Below are 10,316 nucleotides of genomic sequence, written 5' to 3' on the forward strand. Positions count from 1 at the left end.
AAAAAAAAAAATTTTTTTTTTAATTAACCGGGTCTAGTGGTGCATACCTGTCATCCCAGCTATGTGCAAGGCTGAGGCAGGAGGATTGCTTGAGCCCAGGAGTTTGAGGCTGCAGTGAACTCTGATCAGCCCTTCTTCCAGCCTGGGTGACAGAGAGAGATGATGTCTCTCAAAAAAAAAAAAAAAAAAAAAAAAAAAAAGGAAAAGAAATGAAATAAAATGGAGAAAATAAGAAACATTAGTCTTTCATCAACTTTTGTTAACATATTTTCTGAAATGCATTCACTTCATAAACTTTTAAAACATTTTTGTGTAGAATCAGAAAAGCATCATCTTAACTTTCCTTTGTATATGTGTTTGTAATTGCATTCTCCGTTCAAATGGATGTTTTCTCTGTGTTTCAATAAAAAATTGATTAACCAATTTTATTATTTTTTATCCAGAGGGCAAACTTGCTTTTTGACCTATTTGAAAATTCCAGCTTTTTCTAATTTCTGTCAATTTATCTTTTTATTTTATCTCAGTTAATTCCTTCCCTGTCTTTTGCTTGTCTTTCTCTAATTCCTATATATTAATGCTCCAGATTTTTCTGAGAACAGCTGCAGACATGTCCTACAGGTTCTGCCACACAGTATATTAATATAATTTTATTTTATCTGTAGTTTCTAATTTACTTTGTAATTTCTCCTTTTTAAAAAATTCTTGTGTGTTTCTTGATATTTTATATTTTAAATTTTTCAAATTATTGGAAGTTTTTCTTACAATTTCAGTAATAATTTCTCATTTTACAATGTGTAATCATAGAATGTAGTCAAAATTAACTAAACATATTTTTATTGTGGTTTACTGTATGACCTAATATTAAGTAATATACATAATTTGAAGTGTACAACTTCCTCTATCACATTAATTTTATTTAGATCTCATTGTACTTATTTTTATTCTACTTAGTTTGTTAAAGGCTGAGGTGTGTTCTTATAATCCTGATGATTTTTACTCTATACATTGTGATGCTATGTTATTTGTCACATCTTTGTTACAGTTGTGTTTTTGTTGTGACTTATACTTTCTATCATTACACAGTTAGTCTTTTATAATGCATTTTGCATTTATTTAAGCCATTTAATGTTGAGATCCTAGCTTTTTTTCTCCCTCTTCCTTTCTTTCTCCTTCCCTCTGTTTTCTTCCCTGCAATTCTTTTACTTTCCACCCATCTGATATGTGTCTGTTAGTTATGTGTCTTATACATTGCATAAAGTTGAATTATATTATGCTATCCAGTAAGACCCTTTTTGTAGGTAAATGCATCTCATTTATATTTTACTGTCTTAGTTTATTATTTTATGAAATAATTTTTGTTGTTCTTTTTCAGCCTCCCTTACATCCCTTAGCTTTTTAAGTATCTACAAGGATTATTATTCTTTGACTGATTATATTTTAACACTTGGAAGAGCATAAATAAAATAAACTTGCTTAACATCTTTTTCTTGAATGAATAAGAGGAATGAATAGAACTCTATTTAGTGATGTAACTCTTTTCTATTATAGATCCTCACTTTGATTAAACTTACTTCTTTTCCAATAACCTTACGTAAAGAAAATGAGTAGCCCGGGGTGGGCGCAGTGGCTCACACCTGTAATCCTAGCTCTTTGGGAGACCGAGGTGGGTGGATCCTGAGGTCAGGAGTTTGATACCAGCCTGACCAACATGATGAGACCCTGTCTCTACTGAAAATACAAAAATTAGCCAGGGGTGGTGGCACGCACCTGTAATCCTCGCTACTCAGGAGGCTGAGGCAGGAGAATTGCTTGAACCCGGGAGGTGGATGTTGCAGTGAGCTGAGATCGCACCACTGCACTCCAGCCTGCGCAACAGAGTGAGATTCCATCTCAAAAAAAAAAAAAAAGAAGAAGAAAGAAAGAAAGAAAGAAGAAAGAAAGAAAGAAAGAAAGAAAGAAAGAAAGAAAGAAAGAAAGAAAAGAAAGAAAGAAAAAGAAAATAAGATGAGTAGCCTTACGTTTTCTTCCATCTTCCCTCCCTGACAATGTTCCACTTTTGCTTTGGTGTATTATTATTACTTTTTTAATGTCAAGGTTTCTATTTAGCTATTTACCCATAATTTCTAATAGTTATTTCACACCACAGCTTACTTGTCAAATTTTTATTGATTCATGGATGCATATGATCACTAATTAGTTCTTTTCAAAAGACCTCTGGTTTCCTTATCTCTTGGATTCTTGCAGGTTTTGGAACATCTTTCTGTTGCTTTTATGCTTATACCTCAATTTGATAGGCCATAAAACTCTTCAGTCAATTTTTATTTTTTTCTTGTAGTGTGCTGTGAACATTTAATCATTGTTTTTGGAAATATAATGTGCTTGTAGTCACTTCTGGTCACCTTTATTATGAGTTATTTAATATTTCTGGTCATTTTCCCATAGGATTATTTTTCTACTAACTTTGCAGCTAAGTACATTTATTAAAATATATATGTTGTTGGCTGTTCTAAATACATGCTCTTTCCCCTGAAATATCAGTTTCTATTTTCTATCCAACTTTTGGAGAAGTTTTCTTTGATTATTACTTTGGCTGTTTATTTTTCTCCTACTTGTTTTTATCTGTTTTTTAGAAACACAAATATGTATACATAAGATATTAACTTTCTTCAATATCCATTATGCTCCTCTTTAATCCTCTTTTTTCCTCCTTTTCTTTTACATTCTGTCTTATGTAATTTTTTCAGGCATGAGTTAATGACTCTGTTTGCAGCAGTATCTATTCTGCTTCTTTAAGCTTCATTTTGCAGTCTTAATGTATTTATTTATTTATTTTTAATATTTTAACTTTTATTTTAGGTTCAGGGGTACATGTGCAGGTTTGTTATATAGTAAACTCATGACTCAGGGGTTTGCTGTACAGATTATTTCATCACCTGGGTACCAAGCATAGTACCTGACTCTTTCTTTTTTTCTCTGAATCTCTGTCTCCTCCCAACCTCCTCACTCAAGTAGGCCCCAGTGTCTGTTGTTCCCCTTTCCGTGTCCATTTGTTCTCATTATTTAGCTCTCACTTAAAAGTGAAAATATACAGTATTTGGTTTTCTGTTCCTCCATTAGTTTGCTAAGGATAATGGCCTCCAGTCCACCCATGTTACTGCAAAGGACATGATCTCATTTTTTATGGCTGCATAGTATTCTATGGTGTATATGTACTACATTTTTAATCCAGTCTACCACTGATGGGCAGTTAGGTTAATTCCATGTCTTTGCTATTGTGAATAGTGCTGCAATGAACATATGCCTACATGTGTCTTTATGGTAGAATTATTTATATTTCTTTGGGTATATATCCAGTAATGGGATTGCTGGATCAAATGGCAGTTCTGTTTTCAGTTCTTTGAAGAATCACTACACTGCTATCCAGAATGGTTGAACTAATTTGCACTCCCAGTAGTAGTAGATAAGCATTCCCTTTTCTCTACAACCTCACCAACATCTGTTATTTTTTTTTTTTTGACTTTTTAATAATAGCCATTCTGCCTGGTGTGAGATGGTATCTTATTGTGGGTTTGATTTGCCTTTTGCTAATAATCCATAATGTTGAGGTTCTTTTCATATGATTGTTGGCAGCATGTATGTCTTCTTTTGAAAAGTGTCTATTCACACCCTTTATCTACTTTTTAATGGTGCTTTTTTACGCTTGTACATTTGTTTAAGTTCTATATAGATTCTGAATTTTAGATCTTTGTTAGATACATAGTTTGCAAATATTTTCTCCCTTTCTGTAGGCTGCCTGTTTACTCCATTTATAGTTTCTTTTGCTGTGCAGAAGCAGCTCTTTAATTAGGTCTCATTTGTCAATTTTTTGTTTTGTTGCAATTGCTTTTGGTGTTTTCATCATGAGATCTTTGCCACTTCCTGTGTCCAAAATGGTATTTCCTAAGTTATGTTTCAGGGTTTTTATAGTTTTAGGTTTTACATTTAGCTCTTTAATCTATCTTGAGTTGATTTTTTATATGGTGTAAGGAAGGGGTCCAGTTTCAATCTTCTGCGTATAGCTAGTCAGTTATCCCAGCATCATTTATTGAATAGGGAGTCCTTTTCCCATTGCTTTTTTTCAGCTTTGCCAAAGGTCAGATGGTTGTAAGTGCATGGCTTTATTTCTGAGCTCTCTATTCTGTTCCGTTGGTCTATGTGTCTGTTTTTGCACCAGTACCATGCTGTTTTGGTTACTGTGGCTTTGTAAGTACACTTTGAAGTCTGGCAATGTGATTCCTCCAGCTTTGTTCTTTTTGCTTAGGATTGCATTGGCTATTCGGGCTCTCTTTTTGTTCCATATGAACTTTAGAATACTTTTTTCTAGTTCTGTGAAGAATGTCATTGGTAGTTTGATAGCATTGAATCCATAAATTGCTTGGAGTAATATGGTCATTTTAATGATATTGATTCTTCCGTTCCATGAGCATGGAATGTTATTTCATTTGTTTGTGTCACCCTGATTTCTCTGAGCAGTGTTTTGTAATTCTTATTGTAGAGTTCTTTCACCTCCCTGCTTAGTTGTATTCCTAGGTATTTTATTCTTGTATCGCTAGGTATTTTATTCTTTTTGTGGCTGTTGTGAATGGGGTTGTGTTCCTGGTTTGACTCTTGGCTTGGCTGTTGTTGGTGTATAGGAGTGCTAGTAATTTTTGTACATTGATTTTGTATCCTGAGACTTTGCTGAAGTTGTTTATCAGCTTAAGGATCTTTTGGGCCAGGACTATGAGATTTTCTACATATAGAATCATGTCGTCTGTTAACAGGGACAGTTTGACCTCCTCTCTCCGTATTTTGATGCCTTTTATTTCTTTCTCTTGCCTTATTGCTCTGGCCAGGACTTTCAACATTATGTTGAATAGGAGCAGTGGTGAGAGAGGGCATCCTTGTCTTGTGCAAGTTTTCAAGGGGGAAACTTTCAGCTTTTGCCCATTCAGTATAATGTTAGCTATGGGTTTGTCACAGATGGCTCTTATTATTTTGAAGTATGCTCCTTTAATGCCTAGCTTATTGAGGGTTATGACATGAAGGGATGTGAAATTTTATCAAAAGCCTTTTCTGCATCTATTGTGATAATCATGTCTTTTTTTATCTGTAGTTCTGTTTATGTGATAAATCACATTTATGCAGTCTTAATTTATAAAATGGGTGTACTGTTGACTGAGTTTCTCTTCGGAGCTCTATCAGCTTATGTGTTACATTCTTCTAGTGTATTTTCATTGATTCTTTCTGCTCTTGTTTCTCAGGCTTTTTTCAGCACTAATGTGTTTCTTTAAATTTATTACAACAAAAAGGAATATTTGTCTGAAGTGTATTATTTGTTTTATTCTCTCCCTTCTTTTTGATGATATGTTTACAGTATCACCTGTGAAGTTCTTGAGTGTTAGTCCTTTTTGAAAGGGGCAGCTCTATCTAAGCCTACTATTATCTCAAGAATAATGTGGGAGAAATGGGAAAACTGGGTTGAGTTGAGAAGCAGCTGTATGTAGAAATATGTGTGTGTATTAGTAATTCATGGTTTCTTTAACTGCTTTCCCTCTAAGCCCTTTCTCAAAATCCAATTTTAAGAGAAAATATTCATCACTCATCTTTGCAAAATTTTACACCTACATTTTTTGTTAATGTGTTAATACTATTTGAGTCAACTAAACACATTTTGGACACGTATCTATAAGCTCATCTATGCTCTATTTCATGTTTCCATAATTTTGCGACTTAAAGGAAAACAATACTGACCGGGTCCCATTAGACCTGGGTTCTAGATACAGCTTTGCCTAAAATATTTTTTAGTTTTATAAAATTATTTAAATTCTTTATATCTCAGATTCCTAATAAATTCAGTTAAGACAATCATTAATTCTTTACACATGGAAATCTCTTCATACTAGAAAAGAGAGTAATGACACAGAAAGTGACTAAAGTCATTGGAAAGATTTTTGTCCAATTTATAATGATAATTTCAACAAAATAAATGAAAATAAACAAAATTTTATTTACATATTTAAAAAATGTTGTGCTCAGAAAAAAATGTAGGTATGTTTTCCTCACTTATTGCTGTCTATATGTCTGGGGAATGCCCTACCACAGAGGGTATCATTAGAGTGAGAAAGCTTTGTTAAAGTCTCTTGTATTTTCTCCATAGAGATTTATCCTTTATGGAGGAGAATCAAAGTAAATCAACCATTGTGTTTTTTTTTATTACAACACTAATCTTTTTTTCTGAAATGAATATTGATATCAACATTCATAGAAAAGTTACATATTACCAAATAATAAGTTTTGGTATTAAAAACAGTCTATTACTTGGAATTCTTTGCCTCAAACTGTAACTGTCTCCACGTTTCATTATGAAATGTCTTGCAGTATCTGGCATATGATTAAAAAATATATAGGATATATACTTTTTAAAACTCAGAGAAAAGACAACTAATAAAAGAGCTGCATTTTAACCAAAAGCTATCAGAGAGGGAAATTACAAAAGAAAACCCATAATTTGATAGGAAAAAAGGATAAGAAAAAGCAGAGCAATTCTGATAGGTCACTTTCTCATACACAAGCATTTAGTCTAAGGTAATCTTCCAGGACTGTCAGATTTGATTGAAAGATAATGTAAGATTTTTTTCTTGCCACAATTTATAGCACGTATCCATTAGGAATAATTATGGTTGCATGATTTTGCTAGCTGTTATCTCTACAAGTGTTACTAATGGTTTTATCAATTACTCCCTGTCCAATAACTGCATGGTTGTAACCTAATTTAAAGACACTCTATCACCAGGCTGATTTGTGTAGTAGTAAATGACAGCATTTGAGACACCAGCCAAATGACTCACTTCAGTGACTTAGTTAGTCTCTAATAATTAACAATTAGTAGGTACCTAGAGAAAGCTCAAGAGACTGGAGCTCCCACGTTTCTCTTTCTTATCTAAATACAAGAAGTTAGAAAGACTTCGGTGATTCATATTAATAAAATTAAAGGCCTCTATGGGTTTAGAGAACATGTGTATGTAAGAACTGTTAATAATTTATATTTAAAATACAATAAATTAGGGGTGATACATGTTGATAGGTTATGTTTTATTGCATTGCAGTGGGTAGATACTCCAAGACCCACGTAGAAAAATTACTATTTTTTTCCAGTCGTGTTAGTGCTTTGGTTCAAAAGTACAGTCAGTGTGCTAAAAGGGGAATAGTGTTGGCAAACTTGTGCTATTTCTTGAACTTTAAAGGGAAAATGCTGGATGTGCAAAAAGAAGTACTTCATTACAGATCATTAGTGGGGACTTTATGATACAGCTGAAGGCTCAGAAAGGTATTGCCTGCTTAGAACTAGCTGGGAAGATATTTGAAATCCTTTCTTTTTAATTTAATGAATGTAAAGGAAGATTTTTTTCTTTAAAGATGTTATCTCTAAGATTTCTTAAAAAGAAACCACCCCATTTTGAAAGGCTAAGTAAGAGTCTGAATTTCAAGTCTTAAGTGGGCTACATTTTCCAAAGTAGTTTGGCGTCTCAGGGTGAAAGATAGTGAAACGTAAATAGCGAATTCATGGAGTGACCAGGGTTTTGCCCTGTGCTGCTCTTCTGCAGAGTATATCAGTACGTTTAGTTCTACTCTGATAAGGCCCAGTTGCTTTGGGATAATTAATCAGTTAGGTTATTTTGTCAGACTTTAGTACTTTAAGATTTTCTGATTAACGATGAATTTAAGATAATCATTTAAAGATGAGTTGATCAAGCAGAATGATCAAAAGCTATATTCAACCCCATGATGACATTCTCAGTGTTACTAGTAAATTCCAACCTATAGAGAAACATGGGCACTGTGCTTCATTCTCTATCAGGTGAGTCTCAGTAGTCCCTTGAGGAATAGGTAAGCAGAGCCAGCTGCAAAGATTTATTACTGCCTTGGAGTTTTAGGAATGCTAGGGAAAGTAGTCTTTAAAAAAAACTTTCACACCTACAAGCAAGCCTATTCTGATGATGGCACTTCTCTATAGAGAGTCACAGCTAATGAACAGATGTTCTTTTATAAGTTCTGATGGACATTTGTAACCCCAGTTTCTTTGGCTTGCTCCACAAATAGGCTGAGGAGCCAAATGTGCAAACAAGCTGAAAGCCCAGGACCCCAGCCACTCCCTGCTAGTATCATTCCTTGCACATATGTTTATGTCACTATTTTGTACTAATCACAAAAGAAATCAGTGGAAAGGAAGAAAATGAATTACCAAGTATCTGATCATCTCCTGAATAAGATCACAATGGCCAATTTGCAGAAATGGGTTTCTCTAATTTTCCCTTGTGGTGGTGATGAGGTTATGAAATAGTCGTAATAGCACAAGAACTGCCCTCTCTGGAAGCTGCTAAGAAAACTCCAACCATAATAGAAGGGCAAAGACTCGTGGTGTTTCTTACAATGGAGTTGAAGCCCCACCCCTCTTTACCCAGTCATATTTGCATATTCTTTTGAAAACCACACATTGAGTATCTATAGCCCCAGCTGATGTCATCGGGCACAGCATGCAGCCACTAGAAGTGGGACAATTATAATTTTTGTAGCTGATTAATCATCATGAAAAAGTAACAGTCAATTGACTCAATCATACATCCATGGTGATTAATCACACTTCACTTGTGTTTTTTTCCCCCAAGTATTTTACTGACAGTGCAGATGTTGGTTGATTTTCTCCCTTAGCCTTTTCCTTGGTCACAGATGTTAAGTAATCACCTTGTCCTGATATTTGACTTATCCATAATCTTCAGTATTACAAGTCCTTAAAAGAAAATGTGCTCTTTTCTTAGAAATCAAATGGTAACATAGTTATTACCTTTAAAAAACAGGTTAATCAATATATAAAGTAGCTATAATTGTACTCTGTAATCACAAATGCTTTTTTTTTAATAATAATGCTACTCCCCCATTTGTTCCCCGATGACATGATTACTGATAAAACATCGAGAAAGAGAGCTGTTGTTTTTTTTTTCTTCTCCTCCTGGAGTGTTAATAGCTCAATTTCATTTATATTTCATCCAAAACTAGATATTCTAATCCAGATTCATAAAAGGCCTCACCTGGTTGCATTTCACTTCTGGGCAGACATAATATACTCCTGAAAATAAAACAGACATTGTACCATGCTCTCACCTCAGTACAATACTATTTGAGACTTCTCGGTCACTGGCCCATAAGAGAAGCTGAAATGACTCTACTACTGCCCTATTTATAAAATTGTCACATATGAATTGTTGATATTTAAGAAGCAATCACAAACACACTAATCTGTTGGTAAAAGAGCAATATTCAAAGAATATTTGAAATGATTATGAGTCAATTAAATCACTTTTAGGCACAAGTGAAGACCTAGTTTGTATTCAAGGCAACAGAAATGGTTCACTTCAGCTTCTTTTGTAGAAGTGGGATTAGTGGGTGAGGTGTGTCGAAGATATGCTGCAGTCAAGCCCTGGCTGACAGACTTGCCTGTCTAATTTCTCAAATGGAAATGCCTGATCCTGAGGGAGAAGCAAGGTGGCTGTCACAAAGTCAAGTCCCACTCCCAGCCCCCAAGACTGGCTTCCATGATTTTAGACTCTCCAATCTTAGAAAGAGGTATCATCCCCCCAATGCTGACCTTTAGATAATCTTTGAGATCATTTCCCATGTGAAAAATTGCTTTCATGCCAAGATAACACAGCAGTATTGGGTTCTGTCCTAGACGACTGTCTTGATACTGTTAATAAAGAGCCTTGGGTTGGATATAATTGTTAATAAACTAATTCTAAAAATCCACTCAAACGTCACTTATAATCAGGATTTTCTGCTGGGCTAGGACCCCTGGGGAAACCTTTGAAGCTGTGAATCTTGTATGCACTGGCAGGGATGAACATAAGAAGGTAGAGAGTCACCATTGCTTCATAGCTTAGTTGTTTAAAATGATCACGTATGATGAAGCTCAGAACTACTTGCAGCTGTGAGAACCAGAAAAGAAAGTGAGGGATAGAGAAGAGAACCAGTAGGAAGCTCTCCAACTAAACCCAGTCCTCTTTGGATGTGCCAGAAGGAGAGGTGAAAAGATGTGATTACTTGTAATTTATAGCAGGAACATCAAGGCACAGAAGATAATATAAAAGCATTTCAGTGGGAAGATACCCATGACATGAAACTGTTTAAAACAATTAATCAAAAAAGCCTAATTATTCAATTAGATGGATAAATGAATCTTCTTAAAAGTGGATATGCAAAAAAAGTGATGATGAAATCTTTTAAAGGGAAATGAGTGTAAC

General features: G+C 34.5%; 1 annotated feature.

The window, feature by feature from the left end:
• Nucleotides 8,001–9,190: an enhancer, noted in NCBI's record as "VISTA enhancer hs1128". NCBI's record gives its function as "enhancer in: forebrain[4/6]" and the evidence as "EXISTENCE:transgenic organism evidence [ECO:0001131][PMID:17130149]".

This window comes from Homo sapiens, chromosome 6 (assembly GCF_000001405.40).
Source record: "Homo sapiens chromosome 6, GRCh38.p14 Primary Assembly".
Classification (NCBI taxonomy): domain Eukaryota; kingdom Metazoa; phylum Chordata; class Mammalia; order Primates; family Hominidae; genus Homo; species Homo sapiens.